The sequence below is a fragment of the Homo sapiens genome, chromosome 4 (genome assembly GCF_000001405.40).
Source record: "Homo sapiens chromosome 4, GRCh38.p14 Primary Assembly".
Taxonomy (NCBI): domain Eukaryota; kingdom Metazoa; phylum Chordata; class Mammalia; order Primates; family Hominidae; genus Homo; species Homo sapiens.
In genome coordinates, this window is record NC_000004.12 from 1005294 (window position 1) to 1027251 (window position 21958).

General features: G+C 64.4%; 1 protein-coding gene across 5 annotated transcripts, besides 11 other annotated features; it reads left to right on the top strand.

Moving 5' to 3' along the window:
• Positions 4156–4265: a silencer, noted in NCBI's record as "silent region_15117". NCBI's record gives its function as "represses an Ori minimal core promoter by ATAC-STARR-seq in GM12878 lymphoblastoid cells {active_cell/tissue: GM12878}" and the evidence as "EXISTENCE:reporter gene assay evidence [ECO:0000049][PMID:35858748]".
• Positions 4516–4615: a silencer, noted in NCBI's record as "silent region_15118". NCBI's record gives its function as "represses an Ori minimal core promoter by ATAC-STARR-seq in GM12878 lymphoblastoid cells {active_cell/tissue: GM12878}" and the evidence as "EXISTENCE:reporter gene assay evidence [ECO:0000049][PMID:35858748]".
• Positions 4656–5288: an enhancer, noted in NCBI's record as "H3K27ac-H3K4me1 hESC enhancer chr4:1003737-1004369 (GRCh37/hg19 assembly coordinates)". NCBI's record gives its function as "activates a minimal SCP1, AML or CMV promoter by ChIP-STARR-seq in naive H9 embryonic stem cells {active_cell/tissue: H9 hESC(naive)}" and the evidence as "EXISTENCE:reporter gene assay evidence [ECO:0000049][PMID:30033119]".
• Positions 4906–4975: a silencer, noted in NCBI's record as "silent region_15119". NCBI's record gives its function as "represses an Ori minimal core promoter by ATAC-STARR-seq in GM12878 lymphoblastoid cells {active_cell/tissue: GM12878}" and the evidence as "EXISTENCE:reporter gene assay evidence [ECO:0000049][PMID:35858748]".
• FGFRL1 (fibroblast growth factor receptor like 1) lies at positions 4919–21605 on the top strand. 5 transcript variants are annotated; one of them, XM_024454092.2, is made up of 7 exons: positions 4919–5633; positions 7177–7271; positions 16910–17182; positions 18348–18428; positions 18524–18808; positions 19018–19371; positions 19612–21605. In XM_024454092.2, the coding sequence occupies exons 1-7, from the start codon at positions 5581–5583 to the stop codon at positions 20052–20054; spliced, it is 1584 nt and encodes a 527-aa protein (XP_024309860.1). In that variant the 5' UTR covers positions 4919–5580; the 3' UTR covers positions 20055–21605. The 5 variants fall into 5 exon arrangements, with proteins under 5 accessions (XP_024309860.1, NP_001004356.1, NP_001004358.1 ...); NM_001004356.3 differs by lacking the exon at positions 4919–5633 and adding an exon at positions 6333–6661; NM_001004358.1 differs by lacking the exon at positions 4919–5633 and adding an exon at positions 6679–6694.
• Positions 5806–6325: a silencer, noted in NCBI's record as "silent region_15120". NCBI's record gives its function as "represses an Ori minimal core promoter by ATAC-STARR-seq in GM12878 lymphoblastoid cells {active_cell/tissue: GM12878}" and the evidence as "EXISTENCE:reporter gene assay evidence [ECO:0000049][PMID:35858748]".
• Positions 7005–7074: a silencer, noted in NCBI's record as "silent region_15121". NCBI's record gives its function as "represses an Ori minimal core promoter by ATAC-STARR-seq in GM12878 lymphoblastoid cells {active_cell/tissue: GM12878}" and the evidence as "EXISTENCE:reporter gene assay evidence [ECO:0000049][PMID:35858748]".
• Positions 8857–9660: an enhancer, noted in NCBI's record as "H3K27ac-H3K4me1 hESC enhancer chr4:1007938-1008741 (GRCh37/hg19 assembly coordinates)". NCBI's record gives its function as "activates a minimal SCP1, AML or CMV promoter by ChIP-STARR-seq in naive H9 embryonic stem cells {active_cell/tissue: H9 hESC(naive)}" and the evidence as "EXISTENCE:reporter gene assay evidence [ECO:0000049][PMID:30033119]".
• Positions 9661–10463: an enhancer, noted in NCBI's record as "H3K27ac-H3K4me1 hESC enhancer chr4:1008742-1009544 (GRCh37/hg19 assembly coordinates)". NCBI's record gives its function as "activates a minimal SCP1, AML or CMV promoter by ChIP-STARR-seq in naive H9 embryonic stem cells {active_cell/tissue: H9 hESC(naive)}" and the evidence as "EXISTENCE:reporter gene assay evidence [ECO:0000049][PMID:30033119]".
• Positions 12846–13715: an enhancer, noted in NCBI's record as "H3K27ac-H3K4me1 hESC enhancer chr4:1011927-1012796 (GRCh37/hg19 assembly coordinates)". NCBI's record gives its function as "activates a minimal SCP1, AML or CMV promoter by ChIP-STARR-seq in naive H9 embryonic stem cells {active_cell/tissue: H9 hESC(naive)}" and the evidence as "EXISTENCE:reporter gene assay evidence [ECO:0000049][PMID:30033119]".
• Positions 20452–20953: an enhancer, noted in NCBI's record as "H3K4me1 hESC enhancer chr4:1019533-1020034 (GRCh37/hg19 assembly coordinates)". NCBI's record gives its function as "activates a minimal SCP1, AML or CMV promoter by ChIP-STARR-seq in primed H9 embryonic stem cells {active_cell/tissue: H9 hESC(primed)}" and the evidence as "EXISTENCE:reporter gene assay evidence [ECO:0000049][PMID:30033119]".
• Positions 20954–21453: an enhancer, noted in NCBI's record as "H3K4me1 hESC enhancer chr4:1020035-1020534 (GRCh37/hg19 assembly coordinates)". NCBI's record gives its function as "activates a minimal SCP1, AML or CMV promoter by ChIP-STARR-seq in primed H9 embryonic stem cells {active_cell/tissue: H9 hESC(primed)}" and the evidence as "EXISTENCE:reporter gene assay evidence [ECO:0000049][PMID:30033119]".
• Positions 21606–21958: the final 353 nt, after the last annotated feature.

The window sequence follows — 21958 nt, forward strand, 5'->3', positions numbered from 1 at the left end:
CTGTCAGGGGCTCCGGTGGGGGCGGGGGGTGAGCCCGCTGGGTTCACTGCACCTCCCAAAGCCCATGTGCCCTGCCTGCCCCAACCAAAGTGGGCCTCCAAGGTGCTGGGGTGGGACAGAGACCCACGAGGGACCCTCCCCTCACTCCTGGACCTGGGTGTTGTGGCTTTTGGCAAAAATAGCCACATACACTCCAAGTTTCCCCCTCAGCTGGGATTCCTGGTGTGAGCCTGGTCACCAGGGTGGTAGGACAGACCCTCCTCTGGAGGCAAAGTGACGGTCAGCAGGGGGTTCTGAGGCCCCACAGCGCTGGCACCAGTCTTGGCTGAATGGCAAAGCTGCATCTGTCTCCTTCCCCATGAGCTTCCGTTGCCGTCTCCTTCCCTGGCGGCCATCAGCTTACTGACGTGTCCTCACCAGCTTACTGACGCGTCCCCACCCTCCGGTCTTGCTCCTGGGGTCACTTTGGCCTTCGCTGTGAATGGGTCAGGCTTGAGGCCATGCCAAGAGCCAGGGAAGCCAGCACTGGCCGTCAGCTCACACACAGCCTCTGAGATGGAGTCTCGCTCTGTCACCCAGGCTGGAGTGCAGTGGCGTGATCTCGGCTCACTGGAAGCTCCGCCTCCCAGGTTCACGCCATTCTCCTGCCTCAGCCTCCTGAGTAGCTGGGAATACAGGCGCCCACCACCACACCCGGTAATTTTTTTTTGTACTTTTAGTAGAGACGGGGTTTCACTGTGTTAGCCAGGATGGTCTCAATCTCCTGACCTCGTGATCCGCCCGCCTCGGCCTCCCAGAGTGCTGGGATTACAGGCGTGAGCCACCGTGCCCAGCCTCTTTTTTCTTTTTGAGACAGAATCTCACTCTGTCACCCAGGCTAGAGTACAGTGGCGCGATCTCGGCTCGCTGCAACCTCTGCCTCCCAGGTTCAAGCGATTCTTCTGCCTCAGCCCCCCGAGTAGCTGGGACTACAGGCGCCCACCACCACGCCCAGCTAATTTTTGTATTTTTAGTAGAGATGGGGTTTCACTACATTGTCCAGGCTGGTCTCGAACTCCTGACCTCATGATCTATCCGCCTCAGCCTCCCAAAGTGCTGGGATTACAGGCGTGAGACACTGCACCCCGCCTACTATACATTTTTAACTTGTGACTAACTTCAGGTGATATCATATAACCTCATACGTAGTCAAAGAACCTTACAACATTACATTTCCATTTTTCTCTTTCAGCCATTGTGCTATTGTTGTTACATATTTTGATTTCTCATATGATATAAACCCCACAATACATTATTTTTACGTTAATCAGATGATTATCAAGGCAAGTGGATCACCTGAGGTCAGGAGTTCAAGACCAGCCTGGCCAATGTGGTGAAACCCCGCCTCTACTAAAAATTCAAAACTTAGCCAGGTGTGCTGGAGCATGCCTGTAATCCCAGCTACTTGGGAGGCTGAAGCAGGAGAATCGCTTGAACCTGGGAGGCGGCGGTTGCAGTGAGTCGAGATCCTGCCACTGCAGTCCAGTCTGGGCGACAGAGTGAGACTCTGACTCAAAAAAGAAAAACACTCTTTATACTCACTCATTTAGTTGCCGTTTCTGGTGTTCCTCATTTCTTTGTGTAGATTCAGTTTTCCATTGGGTATGACCTTCCTTCTGCTTGAGGGACAGCTTAGACACTCCTGCAGGTGATTCTTTCGCTCTGCTCGATCTAAAAACAGCTTTATTATTTCCCAACCTCTGTCTCCTCTCCTTTGGGGACTCCAATTATACCCATGTTTCACCACCTGAAGGTGAACCACAGTTCACTGATGCTCTTTCCATTTTTCTAGTCATTTTTCTCCGTTTCATTTGGACAGTTTGTATTGCTATGTTTTCAAGTTCACTGATCCTTTTTTTGAGACGGAGTCTTGCTCTGTCACCCAGGCTGGAGTGCAGTGGTGTGATCTGGGCTCACTGCAACCTTCGCCTCTTGGGTTCAAGTGATTCTGCTGTCTCAGCCTCCTGAGTAGCTGGGACTACAGGAACACGCCACCACACCCAGCTAAGTTTTCTATTTTTAGTAGAGATGGGGTTTCACCATGTTGGCCAGGCTGGTCTTGAACTCCTGACCTCAGGTGATCCACCTGCCTTGGTCTCCCAAAGTGCTGGGATTATAGGTGTGAGCCACGGCGCCCAGCCACACTGATCCTTTCTTTTGCAGTGTTCCATTAATCCCATCTCGTGTATTATTTCTCTGACACTACTTTTCATCCCCAGAAGTACGATTTGAGGCTTTTTTCCCCGTCTTTACTTAACATATTGTCTTTCCTTTCCTCCAGCATCTTGAACATATGGAACATGGTCACAGCATAAGCATGTGTGTGCTGTCCTCTACTTGCCCTGTCACCTCCAGCATCTTGAACATATGGAACATGGTCACAGCATAAGCATGTGTGTGCTGTCCTCTACTTGCCCTGTCACCTCCAGCATCTTGAACATATGGAACATGGTCACAGCATAAGCATGTGTGTGCTGTCCTCTACTTGCCCTGTCACCTCCAGCATCTTGAACATATGGAACATGGTCACAGCATAAGCATGTGTGTGCTCTCCTCTACTTGCCCTGTCACCTTTGTCATTTCCAGGTCAGTTACTACAACCTCCACCTCCCGGATTCAAGTGATTCTCCTGCCTCAGCCTTCTGAGTAACTGGGGCTACAGGTTGCCTGCCACCACGCCTGGCTAGTTTTTTTATTTTTAGTAGAGATGGGGTTTCACCATGTTGTCCAGGCTGGTTGTGAACTTCTGGTCTGAAGTGATTCGCCCTCCTCGGCCTCCCAGAGTGCTGGGATTACAGGCGTGAGCCACTGTGCCCGGCCCCAGGTCAATTTTGATTGATTTTTCCCATCTCTCCATATGGGTCATAATGTCCTGCCTCTTTTCATGCCTGTTTTTTTGTTTTTTGTTTTTCCCGGATATTCAATATTTTGTATTCTACCTTGTTTGGTGCTGGATATTTTTGTAAACCTATACATATCTTTGCATTTGTTTCTCGAATGTGATCAAGTTACTTGGAAACTGTGTGGTCCTTTTTTTTCAGGCAGGGTCTCACTGTGTCGCACGGGCTGGAGTGTAGTGGTGTGATCTTGGCTCTCTGCAGTCTCGGCCCCCTGGGCTCAAGTGATTCTCCCACCTCAGCCTCCCCAATAGCTGGGGCCACAGGCACGCATCACCACATTGGCGACTTTTTGGATTTTTGTAGAGATGGGGTTTCACCGTGTTGCTCAGGCTAGTCTCGACCTCCTGGGCTCAACTGGTCTGCCTGCCTTGGCTTCCCAAAGTTCTGGGATTACAGGTGTGAGCCCCCACATCTGGCTCTGGGTCTTCTTATTCAGTGGTGTTTGGTGGGACCTGAACTGTATTTAGTCTCGTGTTGATGCTTCCCTACTACGGGGTGAGAACTTCTTCCTGCTCTAACGATGCTTCCCCACTCTGGCTGCTGAGCACAGGCACTATTCCCAGCCCTGCATGGGCTCTGATCCTGGGTGGGTCTTTCCCTGGCCTTGAGTGTTTTCTTCACGCTCCTGCACTGATCTGTGCTTAGCTGAAGCCTCCAGGCAGACCCTCTGTGGGTGTCTGGGCTTCTCGGTGCAGCCCCCTCCTCTCCAGCACTCTGGAGCACCTGTGAACTCCAGCCCCTGCCTGGCCACCTCTGTCTTCCCAGTTGAGGGAGACGCCGGTGGCTGCCTGGGTTTTCTCTGCACCGGCCTGGGCAGTGGGCGGGACTGTCCTCGCTGCCGGGTCGCTTCCCCTCTCTCCAGCACCACGGTCCTCGGTTTCGTGAGCCCAGTGCCTTACGTGCTGTTTTCACACCTATTTTTTTGGTTGCTGCAGCTGAGAGTGTGTAAGTCACTGTTACTGCATCTCCATTCTCTGCCAAGCCTCCTCCACCCGCCTGTCCTTGTCAGTCCCTACACCTGCTGTTCCTGAGATGCCGCCTCTGTGAGGCCTGCCCGGCTCTCCCCCAGTCCTGCCTCTTCTGCCCCGGGGCAGGTGCTGTCGCGGGCAAGCGAGGATCCGTGCTAGCGAACCTGCGCGCCTGGGGCTCACCGGGGCTGGGTAGGTGGCTACAAGAACCTGTCTTCCCGCGGTCACCCCATGGGGTTGGCTGAGGATGGGGCCTGAGACCCCGAGGGTGGCTGACCGCCCCGTTTCAGTTTTAAGGGGCAGGACGTGCTTGCGCCGGCCCCTCGGCTCCGCGCTGCCTGACCCGAAGGGCCGTGGGAGCGGGGAGGGCCCAGTCCCTGTTCCGGGGGTGGGCGAGGGGCGGGGGGCTGCCTGAGGACGGGGCCTGGGCCGGCCGCGGGCTGGGACGTGGCGGGCGGGGCGGGGCGGGGCGGGGCGGGGCGGGGCGAGGAGACGAGGAAAAACGCCTCGGGAGCTGCCGCGCCGGCGCCGCCGCCACCGCCAGAGGGCAGCGCGTGCCGGCGCGGGAGGCCCGGGCCCCGCCCCCGCCCGGCCAGGCCCCGCCCCCTCCCCGTCCCCGCCCCTGTCCGCCTCGGGCCCCGCCCCGTCTGCCGCTCCGCCCCTGGCCCCGCCCCCCGTCCCGGCCCCGCCCGCCAGGGGCCGCGACGCTGCCCGTGCCCCTCCCACTGCCCGCTCATTCGGGGGCCGGCACCTGCCGGCCTGTCCGCTCCCTGCTTATACTTTGCACGCTCGCAGCCACGTTTCCGCACACCTGTCCCCTTTCCACGCACCTGTGTCCGGCAGCCCGCACATCTGTGGGAGCGCTGCCTCCTCGCCAGCTGTCCGGGAAGTTCAGCGCCGCTCTCCCACGGGCGTGAGACCGCCCCACCCACCTGTCCGTGACTGCAGCTCCGGCCGGGAGGGCGGCAGGTGGGCCCCGGCGCTGCTGGCTCCTTGTGGGACAGGGCCGCGGCGGCGGCGCAGGACGTTCTCCCGCCGGGAGGACCACGCGGCGGTCCCTGGACCCTTCCCCGGGTGCACAGCGGCGGCTGCGCCAGCGGGGGCAGGATGGGCCGTCCGAGCGCACCTCCATCCGCCCTCGCGACGCCCACGCTGGCCCAGACGCGGGATTTGGGGTGGAGGACGCTGGGCTGGGAACCAGCACCTTGGGACGGCCGGGTAGTTCGGGCCTTGAGGAGTCCCACACCCTGACAGCTGGCGCCCCCCACGCCCCGCCTAGCTCTCCTCGGCCTGGGGACACCGGCTGCCAGGCCTCTCCAGTTTCAGCCTTTCCTGGGAGGACTTCCTGGAAGAGGGGGCTTCAGGCCCCAGAAAGAGAGGCTGCTCTGGGGGATGGAGGAGGTGCTGGGATGGTGACTCCGCGGAGTCGAGGGTGTGAGGCGGGATGTGGGCAGGCCGTGAGGTTTGTGTTGCAAGACTGGGAGGCAGGATGAGGGGAGGCCATGGGGCGGCTGGAGGTGCGGCCTGGGAGCCCTGCGTGCTGGGCCCTGGGCAGGGACGGCAGGCGAGGCGTGTGGAGGAAGAGCCGCGAAGAGCTGGGCGCTGTCTTCTCCACGCCTCCGTTTCTTCATCTGCTCCTGGGGCCGCCTGCCCGGTAGCGGAGATTGAATCGCATGTTGACGTCTATTACGATGATTAATGTTCTTGTCATTCCCGTCACTAGCAGGTGAGAGGCTGGGAGGCCTCAGGTGGGAACATACCTTTGGCCAAAGGCACCAGGTAACCCGAACGCCCCGGGGAGGACCCCTGCCTGCATCGCCGCGGCCGTCCCCCCCTACCCCGTCCCCAGCAGCTCCGGCTGGGCGAGGCCCTGCTTCTCCCTTCTGCTCCCGAAGACCCCCCGGGGCGCAGACCTGGAAGCCTCGAAGCTCCCGCGGCCGTCCAGTCCGCCCCCTTCTGAGCAACCAGAGAGCGGTCTGGGCCCGGCCCGGGGCTGCGCAGAGGTCAGACTGCCGCGGGCAGGGCCGGAGCCTGCTCTGGGGGTCGCGGAGGTGTCTCGAGAGTTGAGGACCCGACCCGGGCGCGCGCGGGCGCAGGTATGGGGAGGGCGCGGCGGCTCCTGGCCGGTCCTAGGAGCCTGCGGGGACCAAGGGCGCGCGGGCGGGGCCGGGGGCGCGGCGAGGCTCGGGTTGGGGCGGGGCGGGGGCGGGGGCGGGGCCGGACCCGGGGAAGCCGCCCGCCCGCGGGGACGTCCGCACCGCGAGGGTTAAGGCCGGGAGCCCGGCGGGGCGGGGGCGGTGTGCGCGCGCGGATTGGGGAAAAGTTTGGCGGCGGGGCGGGGCACGGGGGAGGGCTGACGCGCGCGGATTGGCCGGAAGTTGTGCCGGGGGCGGGTCGGGGGTCCGGGCTCGGCGCTCGCTCCGGGAGAGTTGACAAAGCCCCGCAGGGAAGGACGCCTCGCGGCGCGGCGCCCCGGGCCCCTCGCCCCGCCGCCCCGGGATCCCGGCCCCGGCCCCCGGCCCCGCGGACTCGCCCCCGCCGCCTGCCCGGTCCGGGACCCCGCGCCCCGAGCGCCCGAGCCCGGACCCCGACCCGGCCCGAGCCGCCCGCGCCCAGGTAGCGCCGCCCCGCCCCGAGACCGGGCCCGGGGGCGCGGGGCGGCGGGATGCGGCGCCCGGGGCGGCGATGACCGCGGAGCGCACGCCGCGGGCCCGGCCCTGACCCCGCCGCCCGCCCGCTGAGCCCCCCGCCGAGGTGAGCCCCCCGCGCGCGCGGCCGCGACCCCAGGTGGGCACACGGGGGAGGGCGGGGGTCCGGGGCGGGGGCGGGGAGGGGCGGGTTCGGGGCCCCAGCTGGGCACGGGTCATGCGCGCCGCCGCCGCTCCTGCGGGCCCCCGGCCTGCCCCGCCCCCGCCCCCGCGCCCCACGTGGGCCCCCCCCAGCGCAAATTTGTCCGCTAATGGCGCAGGCGATTATCTGCGGGGCGCTGAGTGTTGTGTGTCCTGCGGGCAGGGCCGGAGTTACAAGCGCCAGGAATCCAGACGGTGTTTGGAGAGGGGGGGCGGCGGGGGAGCCCGGTAATTAGTGTAAACCCTTTGTCTGCCTTTGATACCCACAGCTTCTCCCCGCTGCGGCTTCCTCCGCCTGGAGCGCGGGCGGGGAGGGCCTGTGGGGAGGGCGGCCAGACCCCTGATCCCCGCGGCCCGGGACCGGGGAGGGCGGTATCTCCCAGTTCCACGTGTTAGTGACGGCGCCCCCAATGTCCCCAGGTCCGGACAGGCCGAGATGACGCCGAGCCCCCTGTTGCTGCTCCTGCTGCCGCCGCTGCTGCTGGGGGCCTTCCCGCCGGCCGCCGCCGCCCGAGGTGAGTTCTGGCGCCCAGCCCGGCCAGCCTGGCCTCCGCCAGCGCCGCCCCCTTCCCGCCCGGCCCTGAACCCTGCCACAGTGCCCGCCTGGCACGCGCCATGCCCCGCCCCTGCCGCCCCGCTCGCCAGGCCCCCTTCCTTCCAGGGCCCCCTCACCCATGGGCTGTCCACAGCACCCACCGGGGCTCCCCTAGCTGGCTGGAGGGGTTCCCCTCATGCGTGCTTGCTGGCCAGGTGGGCTTTAGTCCTGGCTCCCCAGGACATGCTCCTGGTCTTGCAAACACTTTCATACTCGTACCTGCAGTCCAGGGCAGCTAATCACCTGTGGATTCTTGGGGAGTGGGCGGTTTGTGGCCACAGTGGACCCGATAAGGACTCTGGGAACCTGCAGAGACCCCCACGGAAGGCAGGATGGGCTATGGGAGATATTGGTAATATACTTGGTGTCTGGGACTGAAACTGACCCCCAGACCCCCAGTCCCCCAGCCGACCTAGCCGTGTGCCCTGGGCCTGCCCAGCTCTAGGCAGGCAGTGCCGGGCGGTTGTGTGGACAAGTCCCCAGAGCCGTGACGCACCCCAGGACTGCGTGCCTCTGGGCACACGCTGTGCTGGCCTGGTACGTGCTCATGGCACCGACATCTAAGTGGCAGCCATGCCCTGGGACCCAGCCCCAGCAAGGACATCCGGAGCCGATGGGTGACGTGTGCCCGCAGACTCATGCCCGCCATGTTCCAGGATCCGGGCACAGCGCTGGCTGCCCCCATGGCTAGGCGGGACCTGTGGCCAGGCCGGCCCTTTGGGCGTGTTGACCACTCAGGATTGTCCGCGCTGTGTCCACCAGTCCTGAGGCTTCGCACCCCTCCCCTGCCGCCCAGCAAGCGCGCCGCATCCAACCTGGCCTTATATGGGCACGTTCGGGTGCTGGGTGGCGGGCGGTGACCAGGTGGGCCTTATGCCACAGCACCCCCCCCTACCCCCCGCCTGCCCACATGGGCCTGGCTGAGCGGCTGCTCTGAGGGCCCGGCAGCGTCCTGGGCTGTGTGGGCACTCAGGCCATACTGGGCGAGCCCCTACCATGGCCAGCGGCCTGGACTTGCATTCTCTTTGATCTGTTTGGCCTCCCCAATCCCTACACCTGCCTGTCCTCTGGCCACTCGGCCAGGGAGGCTCTGGAGGCCTCTGTCCTGCCATGTTTCCTGGCTGGGGCTGAAGCTGACTGGTGGATGGCCACGGTCAGCCATGGCAGTGGGCGGCAGAGCCCGCCTCTTCGTGGAGACGCCCCAGCGGCCACCCCCTTCGCCTTCGTCCTCCTCAGCTGCGGCCTTGGGGCTGAGGATATCCAGCCCTGGCTTTGCGTGGCAAAGGCCCTGGCGGCACTGGGGAGCTGGGATCAAGCTGCTTTCCAAGGGCAGGGGCCTCTGTGGTTTGGGTGGAGGTGGGGAGGAGGTTCTTCCGGACTGTGCTGATTTTCCTAGCGTGGACTAGGGCGCGAGGTCCATCCAAGTGTGTTTCTCCTGCTCTGAACAGCCCACTGTGCACCTTCGTTAGGCCAAGGACCAGCATGCAGAGGGCTTGGGTTATTTTTGAAAAGCCATTTCCCGCTGGGTCATAAGTTCTGGAATCGGCACATCGCTACACTCAGATCATATTTTAAAAGTTCCTCTTTTCCCAAACTTTCACAATCTTGGTGGATTTGTCTTAAACTGCTTTTTTTTTTTCCAATTTGAAAAAATATAGGAATTGGCTTTCTCCCTTTCCATTTTATTTCTCACAGTGGGAACTTGAGAGGTTCTGCATGAAATGTCTTTCACAAATAACTCTGAAGGAAGTCGTTTCAGGGCTTTCTGAGAAGTGCCACCTTTGAACTTTTGCAAGCATGGCCTTGGGGGCCAGCTCTGAGTGGCCTGCCTAGGAGGCCACTCCCCTGTCCTCTGCACCCGGCCAGCTGCGGTGGGCAAGCTGAGCCCTGACCCAGGTGGGCAGGGTGCCTGTCCAGGGGTGCCCCATGCCTGGGGGGTAGCGGGGTCAGTGTCGGCTCCCTGTGGGGGCAAGAGTCTGAAGGGTTGTGATTCGGGGAAGCAATAGCCGTGGGTGTACGGTGCTGACCTCGGCCCCCAGCCAGGCCTCAGGGCCTTCCTCCCTCGCCCCAGGCCCTTCCGGGCAGTGGCTGGCCCGTGTGCAGCGGGCTGAGGTGGACGTGTGGGAGCTGGGCCCAGCCCCTGCAAGGTGGGGAATCGGGCCAGCCGCCCCGTTTCCATCTCGGGGCCCCACTCCTGGAAGGGAAAATAAATCACTGTCCCCTTGGGGGGAGGGAGGGAGCCGTGAACAAAGTCGCCTTTGGCTGGGCCTGGAAACGCCGACCGCAGACTCCTTTATCCATTGTGCGGGAATCAATGGGCCTCCGGGCTCCCTTTCAGCCGCAGGCCCCGCGCTGCGGCCCTGTCAGGGGAAATGTTGGTTTTTCCCCAGTCGTGGCCTCCAGCCCCTGGCTTGCCCAGCCCTGGCTTGCCCAGCCCTGGCTCAGGAACTGCGGCCGTGCTGGGAGAGGCGGGCTGTGCCCGCAGACTGGACCCCGGCTGCTGCATGCTGGCCCTCTGTGCGGCCCGGGCTTGCTGCTCGGCCCAGGGTGGACTCCTTTGCCCCATCAGGGCCTCCGCCAGTGACTCCAGGCCTGGTGTGTCCAGGTGACAGCCTCAGCGGGTCAGCACAGGAGGGAGAGGGATACCCACACCCCTCTCCCCAGAGGCCCCCTCCAGGGCTGCACTCCCTGCCTGCCTGCCACTCTCCCTGGCGGCCATCCCTGGAGCTGCTGGTCAAGCCCCAGGGTGCCTGGCTGCCCTCTGCAGGCGGCTCCAAGGTGGGCCGCAGCCCCAGAGCCATGATCCAGGATGGCTGGGGCAGGGGTGAAGCAGGGGATGGGAGAGGAGGGGCTTCACGGGCCAAGGCATACCTAGCAGGAGAGGTGGGTACCAGTCCCCTTGGAGCAAGTCAGCGTGGGTGGGGGTCTCCTTCCAGGTCATTGCCCCTGTGTGGGGCAGGGGGGTGCTGCCCATCTTGGCAGAAGGCTCAATTACTTCTTGCCTGGTGCTGTTAAGGGGCTGAGGGGTGAACATTGGCTGAGCAGTGACAGGAAAGAGGGAGCCGGGCTGTTGCCCTTGTGTGTGGCGTGGGGCCCGCTGGGCACGGTGACACCCTCTGGGCTTCTAAGACTGAGCCCCAGGACAGCCTGGTGGCCCCGTGGAGAGCTTGGGTTCCTTGTCCAGGCCCACCAGCCAGTGGCTTCAAGGCCCTCTACACTCCCTGTAGCCTTCCTGCCCTGTTCCCAGTGGTGACTGCAGGGCTTGGTGTGGAGCGCAGTACCATGCACCAGGGTGCCTGACGCAGGCATCACTGTGTGTCCTGGAGGGTCTGGGCGGCTGTGCCCTGTGGCCTGCAGGGGCCTGGGGAGCTGCAGCGGACAGGCCCGGTGCCCTCCTGTCCCCAGCTCTGTCCTTGAGAAGTCCGCCATGTGAGTGGGAGCAAGGGCCCCTGACCTGGTGGTGCCCGGTGTGCCTGGGCTGCTCCGTGGTTGGGGCAGCCCCACCTGGGGGCCAAGAGCCCTGGCAGGGGACAGAGCATCAGCTCACCCCTGATCTCTGGCCTCAGGGGTTCTGGGCTCAGGAAATGTTCTTGTTGATGCTTCTGAAGTGGGGAAGGGCTGCCAAGGTCTGCAGGCAGAGCCCCTCTGGGGAGTTCCGGGCAGGGGAGGCCTGGGGACTGCAGCCCGGCAGGCTGGGGTTTTGAGGTGGGGGTGGGGGCCACGTGAAGCTGGGTGGGCCTGGTGAGGTCTGGACTGGGATGGGTACGGAGGAATCTTTGCCTGTTTTAGTGCTGTACAAGGTTCTCTCCAGGGCGTGGGACTGCCTGATGATGCTCTGGTGCCCGCTGTGTGCCCTGGTGTGTCGAGGAGGGGGAGCAGTGCCCTGGGGCTGGGGTTGCAGAAGGTTCCCCCGAATGCTTCCAGGGCTGGGCAGCATGGTGGGCCACATGCTGCATGCAGCTTGCTGGGGCACAGCCTGTGGGGTAGCCACCTGTGCTGCAGGCCCCCAGTTCCCCCGCACGTCCTGTGGGTCTGCTCCCCGAGGGCCGCCTCGCTAGCTGGTGACTGTGTGTGCCCTGGGTCTGTGTATGCAGGTGCACATGTATGTGCCTGAGCGTCCCGGGGCTGGGGCAGAGCCTGGCCCTGGCACCTGATGGGCAGCAGGCTGCGTGGCGGTCACCTGTTCTCTGGCTCCTGGGGGCGGCCACTCTTGCACTTGGCTTCCTGAGGAGGGGACTGGGCCCTGGCACTGACTCTGGGGTTTCCCACTCACTCCTGCCCTGGGTGCCCCTGGGGGCCTGGCACAGCCACATAGCGGCCATCTGTGATGGGGGCACTGTGTCTCTTCTCGGTAACCGGGTGGGGGGACCACCGGCTGCAGAAGGCTCAGCACCTGGATTGGCTCTGCACCCCACTAGGGGTTCGACACAGTGTGTCCTGATTCCCCTCCCCTCCCTTCTGGTCAAGGTGAGCCCCCTTCCCCCAGGCCACTCAGCTTCTCCAGGAGGACTTGGGGCCTGGCCACCCCCACCCCGTGGCCAGGTCCTGGGTCAGGCCAGAGAATTCCTCCAGCTGGAAACTTTGGGCCATGCAGGGCCCCCCAGTTCGCAGGCATCCTCACTCCACTCTGGCCTCGTTCGGCTGCCAGGACGCTCTTGGTCCAGCTCCTCCATGCGGGAACTTGGGTAGCCGGTCAGGGTTGGGGTTGAGGGGGCCACACAGCCAGCTCCTCAGCGGTCAGCTCCACCTGCCCCTCCCTCCCCAGCGCACACTGGCTCCGTCTGTCCCCACAGACGCCCCACCCTGCTGTGTTGTTGACCAGCATCAGCCCCTGCCGCAGTGAGTGCTCCTTCCTTGGGAAGCCCCCGTTGTCCCTACTGGGTCAGGAGTCCCGTCCGACCTGGGCAGGTGCTGCCTCGGGCTCTGTAGAGGGGTGGATACCACTGGCCTGGGCTGTAGAGGCGTCCTGGGAGGTGCAGGGTGCACTGGAAAGTTGGAGGAGGCCGTTTCCAGCCAGTGTCCTGGTCCTAGCTCGTGTCTTCTCCCAACAGAGGGGTCATGACGCTGCACGTGTGTCCCTGCCTGGGTGTCTCTCCCTGTGCTGAGGGCTGTGTTCTGGGGAAGCACCCCCTCCTTGCTCCCTGTAGGAGCCAGGCCCCATGGGGAGGAGCCACCTGGCCACAGGAGGGAAGCCGGGCAGCCCCAGCCCTGCATCCTCTGTACCTGCCCTGGCCGGCCCCCACACCCACACCGTTCTCCCTACGAATGTCCACTGAGTATCTGCTGTATGCCAGGCCTCGGGACACCACGAGCACGGGAGAGGGGCTTGGGTGTGGGTTTGGACCACGTGGCCAGGACGGGCCCTTCCAGAAGAGATATTGGAGCCCCCGAGGAGCTACGGGGTGAGGGGTGTCGGAGAGGGCACTTCAGATGGGGCAGGTGTTCGGGGAGCTGATATGAGGGCCTGTGAAGACGGGGAAGGGCAGGCCGCAGGGGGTTCCTGCCTCCGTCCCTCCAGACTGCAGCTTCTTCCCCTCCATCCCAGGGCCTGCCCACCTCCACCCTCCCTGGGCCCTGGGAAAGAGGAGCCTCTGTCTGGGGACAGTGTGTGTGTGACAAAGCGTGTAGGCAGAGCGGCCTCTGGGCCTTGCTGCTGTGGGAAGCCCCTGCTCCTCCTCCTTCCCTAGTTGTGTTTTTTACAGCTGGGCAGGGGTGGGGGGGGCGGCGGGAGGATTTGGAGGCATCCGCCTTCTTGGCGCACTGCCTCCGAGTCTAGTCCTCCATACCTGACAGCAGTGAGGCCCTGTCTCAGACTCAGTTTACTCTCATGTCTCGCTCCCATGTGGCCCTTGGTGTCCTGCCTGTGCTGGGGGCCTCTCGGCTGTGGCTAAGTGTGTGTGCAGGGCAGGGGCTGTGCTGGAGGAGGAGGCTGGGGGGTGTCTTGGCAGGGTGCACGGCCCCGGAGGTGGCACAGTGCTGCTGTCATGCCCCGGCGGGGGTTCCCTGTGTTTCTTCCTGGCTGCAGTGCGAGGCAGCCGGTCTTCCCACCAGGTGCCTGTGCCCTCAGGTCCTGACTCAGTTTCCCCATAGGCTGCGTGGGTTGGACGCCCGTCCAGGTGGCGTGGTGCCCTGGCCGCTGTCCTGGTGTGATCATTCCCCAGGAATCTGGGGGGATGGGCTTCCTCCTGGGCAGGCCCTCCTGCGGGGGGTCTTGGGCCGGCAACAGCAGGGGGTCCGGGGAGCCCAGGTGGGGGTGGGATAGGCCTGGCGAGGGGGAGGGAGGCTGTTTGCTTTAGGATAAGCCTGGCTCCTCTGGCCCAGCTGCCTCTGCCCGTGCCTACAGCGCTTGCAGGCCGGCCCTGGGGGCCACGCTTCCGGCCATCCAGCGGTCATTTGTCTCTGCCCCCTTTCTCAGTGGTGACCACAGGCGGGGGTCCCGCCTCCCTGTCTGTGCCTGTCATCCTGCACCTCCCGCATGCCTTTGGGGACCCTTACCTCACCAAGCCTTGCTTGTATCTGCCTGGGGCAGGGTGGGGGCTGGGAAACCTTCCCGAAGTGTAGCTGGGGCTTTCAGCCTCTGAGGTGGGCTCCCTCCCCAGATGTGGGGGGCTGGGTCAGTGTGCTCCCACCCAGGACAGGGCCAGGCACTCGCTCTCTTGCTTCTTCTGGACAGTTGTGTGGGTGAACACTTGTGTGCACCCATGAACATGCACGTGTGAGGCCTGTGCCCAGGTAGCCAGCCAGGAGGCCCAGGCACCCCTGCAGGCTGTGGGCCACAGGGGCTGGGCTGGCCAGGGGCCTTGGCCACTCCCCCTTGGTCCCGGGAGGCCCTGTGGGTGGTGGGATTTCAGGCAGCGACAGGTGCTGGTGGGGTCAACCTGGGGTGCGTCTGGGACCTGGGCCGGCTGGGAAGGGGTCAGGAGGCCCCAGTGCTGTGGGCCCTGCAGCCGCTTCCTCCCCGGGACAAATTTGCCAGAGCTGCCCCCAGCCCTGGGCAGCTCACAGAACCACACTGAGGGGGTGGTGGGCTGGCAGCCCCCCACAGCCGCCATCTCATTTCCTCTCCGGGGAGCTGCAGGGAGGGTAGGGAAGGAGGGGCTTCAGGGCTGGGGCCCATGGCCTGGGTGGGAGGGTCCTGAGTTGAGGGAGAGACGTGAGTCAGAGAAGAGACCCCCACATGTTTTCTCAGAGAGGCCAAGGACTGGGATGGGCCGGGTGAGCCAGGGCTGAGAAGAATCCCTCCCTCCAGAGCCTCAGCCCACCCTTTGTGTTTCTGGGCACAGCAGGGAGGCGCCGTGTCTCCACTCCCAGCCCCAGCGGCCAATGATGCCTGTGGGCTCAGAACCTAGAGGCCCTGGGCAACGCCCCCTGTGCTATCAGCACTGATTGGGAGGCCTCCAGAGAGGTGATAGGGATTCTCTGTGAGGGTCCCTGTCCCCAGACTTGGGGGTCAGAATGGGAGCTGCTCCCTGAGTGTCTGAAGACGCCAGTGGGAGACGTCACAGGGCCACTGTTAACTGTGTATTGGAGGAACACGCGGCCCCAGGCCCCATCGAGATGGCCTGGAGCAGCTGCTACCTCTTGGTGTTCTGCACGCAGCCTGGACGCTCCCAGACAGCAGTGGCTGCAGTGCGGGATGGACACTGTCACCCATGGGCTGGCGAGAGATGCCCTGGGAACTGTGGGGTGCCTGCGGCCGCCTCTCCGACATGGAGAGCAGTGAGTGGGCTGTGGTCGCCGCTGCAGGACTTGGGAGCAGCACGTGGGGAGTGGGGCACGCAGGGCCCTCCTTTCCCAGGAGCTCCATCCAGGTACAGGCCCTGCGGTGCCCCGAGTTTCTGAGGCCTGCAGGGTCTGTGTGTTCTAGGTTCATCTTCCTGGCCGGCTTGGCACTGCCCACTGGGGCTGGTCACACACACACAGAACCCTGGCCCTGCCTTCCAGCCCAGAGGCACCCAGGCAGGGGATGGGGTGGGGTGGGGACTGAGGCAGGGGATGGGGTGGGGACCCAGGCAGGGGATGGGGTGGGGACCCAGGCAGGGAATGGGGCGATGGGGCGGGGTGGGGACCCAGGCAGGGGAAGGGGCGGGGTGGGGACCCAGGCAGGGGATGGGGTGGGGTGGGGACCCAGGCAGGGGAAGGGGTGGGGCTGGGGTGGGGACCCAGGCAGGGGATGGGGCGGGGTGGGGACCCAGGCAGGGGAAGGGGCGGGGTGGGGACCCAGGCAGGGGATGGGGTGGGGTGGGGACCCAGGCAGGGGAAGGGGCAGGGCTGGGTGGGGACCCAGGCAGGGGATGGGGCGGGGTGGGGACCCAGGCAGGGGAAGGGGCGGGGTGGGGACCCAGGCAGGGGATGGGGCGGGGTGGGGACCCAGGCAGGGGAAGGGGCGGGGTGGGGACCCAGGCAGGGGATGGGGCGGGGTGGGGACCCAGGCAGGGAATGGGGGTGGGGTGGGGACCCAGGCAGGGAATGGGGTGGGGACCCAGGCAGGGGAAGGGGTGAGGTGGGGACCCAGACAGGGGGTGGGGTGGGATGGGGACCCAGGCAGGGGATGGGGTGGGGCGGGGACCCAGGCAGGGGATGGGGTGGGTTCCTTTCTGCCAGGAAAGGAGGCCTCTGCCAGGAAAGGAGGGCTCGGCTTCTCCACATAGGGTGGGATGGTGCAGGTGGCCATGTGGAGCCGCAGCCTTTCTGCTCCTGTGGGTTTCACAGGTGGTGGGAGGACATACTGGCTGCCCCCCAGACAGGAGCGGCAGTGCCCGTGGTCAGCCCGAGCTACGTCTCTCCAGAGGCTTGCTCTCTGACCCCAGGGCCTTGGGGTCATGCCCCCTCAAGGCTAAGGTGCCTGGCAGGGTACGGCCCTTGGGGGTGGGCAGACAGACCTGGGCATCTGTGGTCCCTGAACTCAGGTCTGATATTGACACAGACGTGGGTGCTGCACAGACTCTCATCCACACATTGCACAGGCTCAGGCAGCCCGCCGTGCTCGGTTGCTTGTGGATAGCTGTGGGGTCGCTGGCCCATGCCCAGGCCCGGCTGGGCCCTGGGCTGATGGTTGGGTGGGAATTAGGTGAGGGGCCTGGGGCCTCTTTGGGACCCACCAGGCCCCCCATCCCCCTACTGCCCTTGTCCTTGGGGGGCCACTGTCCCCTCTGACCTCGGGTGTACGGCTGCTTCCTGTATGACCAGAAGGAGACTCTGCCCTTTTGGTTGGTGGTTTTCGAGAGTTACCAAGCGCAGCTGTTTTGCATCCTCTGGGGACCCTGCTCCCTTCTCGTGTCTCAAAGAGCCAGCCTCTGGGGCCACGGGGCTGCCCCGGCCATGAGAGGCTGCTGACGTGGTGTTTGCTGGGCCAGTGCTCAGGGCTTTGGTGCATGTGGGCAGCTGAGGCCTGGGTCAGGGGCACTGCACCTCGGCCCCTCTGCTCATCTTGGGCAGGTGACCCAGGTGGAGCTCAGGCCCGAGGTCTGTGCTGGGCCGTGGGTCCCCTTTTGACCGCCCCCCCGGCTCCGGACCCCAAGCCCCTCCTCGCTGACTGTTCCTCGGTCCCACCCGCAGGCCCCCCAAAGATGGCGGACAAGGTGGTCCCACGGCAGGTGGCCCGGCTGGGCCGCACTGTGCGGCTGCAGTGCCCAGTGGAGGGGGACCCGCCGCCGCTGACCATGTGGACCAAGGATGGCCGCACCATCCACAGCGGCTGGAGCCGCTTCCGCGTGCTGCCGCAGGGGCTGAAGGTGAAGCAGGTGGAGCGGGAGGATGCCGGCGTGTACGTGTGCAAGGCCACCAACGGCTTCGGCAGCCTGAGCGTCAACTACACCCTCGTCGTGCTGGGTTAGTCGCTGCTGCGGTCAGAGGTCATGGGCTGGGTTGGAGCCAGGCAGGGGTGTGCAGGAGGGCGGACGGGGACACACCTGGGGCCCGAGAGTCAGCCAGCCCCCGGCAGAAAGCCTTCCTTCGGTGCCCTGCCCCACCTCAGCTGGCTGCACCTCTGCCACCATCCCCCAGGTATCCTGTCCCGTTCCTGTCCCCGTCAGGCTCCAGCCTCGGAGCCTTCCTCCCAGCGGAGGGCGGAGGGTGGAGGGCGGGAGCCGAAGGCAGTGGTCCCACAGAAGGGCTGGGGCCCGAGGCCTTGGCAGGGTGTGCCGGCCGTCGGCTGTGACTTTGAGGCTCGGGTTTCGGAGTTCAGAGGAGCCGCCGGGATGCGTGGCCTTTCTGTTCTCTTCTGCGCCTGGGGCCCGGGCGCTGGGCTTGGACAGGTGTCCAGAGAGACACGCCCTCCATACCTAGGGACCCGGCACCCCGCCTGCTCCGCTGGGCTCCTGGGTGTGGGGCCCTCGGGTGGAGCTCCTGGGAGCTGGGCTGGCCCGTTTCTTTTTTTTTTTTAATTCTACTTTAAGTTTTAGGGTACATGTGCCCGTTTTCTGAATACAGGAGCCTGGCCCAGGCCCCAGCAGGGTCTGGGGGTGCGGCCTGAGACAGCCTGGTCCTGGGCTCAGTGAAGGAGCGGCTGTCACAGGGTGGATGGAGGGGACATTCCACAGCACGCCCTGCCCCTCGGCATTGTGTGGAATGGGAAAACTGGCTGTCCCCCACCCCCACCCCACAGTCCTTTCAAAGGGGACGATGACCGGGTGGTATGAGAGTCTCGTCTGTTCACCAGCCCTCGGCCCCTTGATGTAGGCTAGGGTTACTGCAGCTGCTGGCCGGGCCCGGCTCCCTCCTCCCCCGGGGCCTGCAGACCCCCCGGAGCCAGAATGGGGGCCGGCCCTCCAGCCCCACCCGTGCCCATCAGGGTCACCTGCGCCCAGTGTGGGCCAGCGGCCCTTGCCCAGCTGTCCCTGGGATTCTGGGCTGTGGGTGTGTGGCGCAGCCCCCTGCCTGGGTGTCCAGGGCTGTCCCGGCTGGGGCTGGGGGAGCTAGAGGCCACGGGGGAGTTGGGGGAGCTCCTCAGGGCCCCCCTCACCTGCCCTCCCTGTGCACCTCCGTCTCTCTGCAGATGACATTAGCCCAGGGAAGGAGAGCCTGGGGCCCGACAGCTCCTCTGGGGGTCAAGAGGACCCCGCCAGCCAGCAGTGGGGTGAGCAGGGGGTGACGGGGGTGGGGGGCGTCCGTCTGTCCCGGCCCCTTGGCTGCATCCCCGTCCTCTGACCTCCACGCCACCCCACCCCGCAGCACGACCGCGCTTCACACAGCCCTCCAAGATGAGGCGCCGGGTGATCGCACGGCCCGTGGGTAGCTCCGTGCGGCTCAAGTGCGTGGCCAGCGGGCACCCTCGGCCCGACATCACGTGGATGAAGGACGACCAGGCCTTGACGCGCCCAGAGGCCGCTGAGCCCAGGAAGAAGAAGTGGACACTGAGCCTGAAGAACCTGCGGCCGGAGGACAGCGGCAAATACACCTGCCGCGTGTCGAACCGCGCGGGCGCCATCAACGCCACCTACAAGGTGGATGTGATCCGTGAGTGTGGCCCCGGGCGCTGGCGGGCGGGGGGTGCTGGTGGGCGGGGGCGCTGGCGGGCGGGGGTGCTGGTGGGCGGGGGCGCTGGTGGGCGGGGGCACTGGCAGGGCTTGGGGGTGGTGGGCTGGGGGTGCTGGTGGGCCCAGGGTGCTGGCGGGGTAGAGTCCGGCGCGGCCCAGGAGCCATGCCCGCGTGCCACGTTCCCACAGAGCGGACCCGTTCCAAGCCCGTGCTCACAGGCACGCACCCCGTGAACACGACGGTGGACTTCGGGGGGACCACGTCCTTCCAGTGCAAGGTGCGCAGCGACGTGAAGCCGGTGATCCAGTGGCTGAAGCGCGTGGAGTACGGCGCCGAGGGCCGCCACAACTCCACCATCGATGTGGGCGGCCAGAAGTTTGTGGTGCTGCCCACGGGTGACGTGTGGTCGCGGCCCGACGGCTCCTACCTCAATAAGCTGCTCATCACCCGTGCCCGCCAGGACGATGCGGGCATGTACATCTGCCTTGGCGCCAACACCATGGGCTACAGCTTCCGCAGCGCCTTCCTCACCGTGCTGCCAGGTGCGCGGCTGCCACGCCACGCCACACCATGCTGGTGCCCGGACCCGCCCCCTGGGCCCGGCGTCCCACCCACCGGGTGGGGCCCCACCCTTCCCTCCCGGGCCGTGCTGGCCAGGTCATCTGCCGAGGGAGGGCAGCCCAGGGGCACCGTCTCCACAGCCCCTGGGATGGGTCTGGGGTGCTCTCCTGGTCTTTGTGTCGGCGTTCCCCTCCCTACCTCCTTTCCTCTCGCTCTTGCAGACCCAAAACCGCCAGGGCCACCTGTGGCCTCCTCGTCCTCGGCCACTAGCCTGCCGTGGCCCGTGGTCATCGGCATCCCAGCCGGCGCTGTCTTCATCCTGGGCACCCTGCTCCTGTGGCTTTGCCAGGCCCAGAAGAAGCCGTGCACCCCCGCGCCTGCCCCTCCCCTGCCTGGGCACCGCCCGCCGGGGACGGCCCGCGACCGCAGCGGAGACAAGGACCTTCCCTCGTTGGCCGCCCTCAGCGCTGGCCCTGGTGTGGGGCTGTGTGAGGAGCATGGGTCTCCGGCAGCCCCCCAGCACTTACTGGGCCCAGGCCCAGTTGCTGGCCCTAAGTTGTACCCCAAACTCTACACAGACATCCACACACACACACACACACACTCTCACACACACTCACACGTGGAGGGCAAGGTCCACCAGCACATCCACTATCAGTGCTAGACGGCACCGTATCTGCAGTGGGCACGGGGGGGCCGGCCAGACAGGCAGACTGGGAGGATGGAGGACGGAGCTGCAGACGAAGGCAGGGGACCCATGGCGAGGAGGAATGGCCAGCACCCCAGGCAGTCTGTGTGTGAGGCATAGCCCCTGGACACACACACACAGACACACACACTGCCTGGATGCATGTATGCACACACATGCGCGCACACGTGCTCCCTGAAGGCACACGTACGCACACACGCACATGCACAGATATGCCGCCTGGGCACACAGATAAGCTGCCCAAATGCACGCACACGCACAGAGACATGCCAGAACATACAAGGACATGCTGCCTGAACATACACACGCACACCCATGCGCAGATGTGCTGCCTGGACACACACACACACACGGATATGCTGTCTGGACGCACACACGTGCAGATATGGTATCCGGACACACACGTGCACAGATATGCTGCCTGGACACACAGATAATGCTGCCTTGACACACACATGCACGGATATTGCCTGGACACACACACACACACGTGTGCACAGATATGCTGTCTGGACACGCACACACATGCAGATATGCTGCCTGGACACACACTTCCAGACACACGTGCACAGGCGCAGATATGCTGCCTGGACACACGCAGATATGCTGTCTAGTCACACACACACGCAGACATGCTGTCCGGACACACACACGCATGCACAGATATGCTGTCCGGACACACACACGCACGCAGATATGCTGCCTGGACACACACACAGATAATGCTGCCTCAACACTCACACACGTGCAGATATTGCCTGGACACACACATGTGCACAGATATGCTGTCTGGACATGCACACACGTGCAGATATGCTGTCCGGATACACACGCACGCACACATGCAGATATGCTGCCTGGGCACACACTTCCGGACACACATGCACACACAGGTGCAGATATGCTGCCTGGACACACGCAGACTGACGTGCTTTTGGGAGGGTGTGCCGTGAAGCCTGCAGTACGTGTGCCGTGAGGCTCATAGTTGATGAGGGACTTTCCCTGCTCCACCGTCACTCCCCCAACTCTGCCCGCCTCTGTCCCCGCCTCAGTCCCCGCCTCCATCCCCGCCTCTGTCCCCTGGCCTTGGCGGCTATTTTTGCCACCTGCCTTGGGTGCCCAGGAGTCCCCTACTGCTGTGGGCTGGGGTTGGGGGCACAGCAGCCCCAAGCCTGAGAGGCTGGAGCCCATGGCTAGTGGCTCATCCCCACTGCATTCTCCCCCTGACACAGAGAAGGGGCCTTGGTATTTATATTTAAGAAATGAAGATAATATTAATAATGATGGAAGGAAGACTGGGTTGCAGGGACTGTGGTCTCTCCTGGGGCCCGGGACCCGCCTGGTCTTTCAGCCATGCTGATGACCACACCCCGTCCAGGCCAGACACCACCCCCCACCCCACTGTCGTGGTGGCCCCAGATCTCTGTAATTTTATGTAGAGTTTGAGCTGAAGCCCCGTATATTTAATTTATTTTGTTAAACATGAAAGTGCATCCTTTCCCTCCAGGCTGGTGTTTCTGCCCATGTCTACATGCACGTGTGCATGCTCGTGTGTGCTCACATTTGTGCCTGTGTGTCAGGCCTGGTCTCCAGAACCAGCAGCCTAACCCTCTTGGAGTCCCCTCGCTGGGCCAGAGCCACAGGGGCTGAGAACTGCACCTCCCGGCGGGAGAGTTTGGGTATACTGGGCTTCGGTGGTGTTGGGCGTGAGCACTGCCCACATGCCTGGCCAGGCCTGCGTCCTGCACCCCTGTCCCAGCGGCGCCCTCTCTGTGTCCTGGGGCTGGCACCTATGGCCCTCAGTGCAGGGCCTGGCCACTCCCCAGCCCCTCCTCAGGCTTTGGTGGGTGGCCCTACAG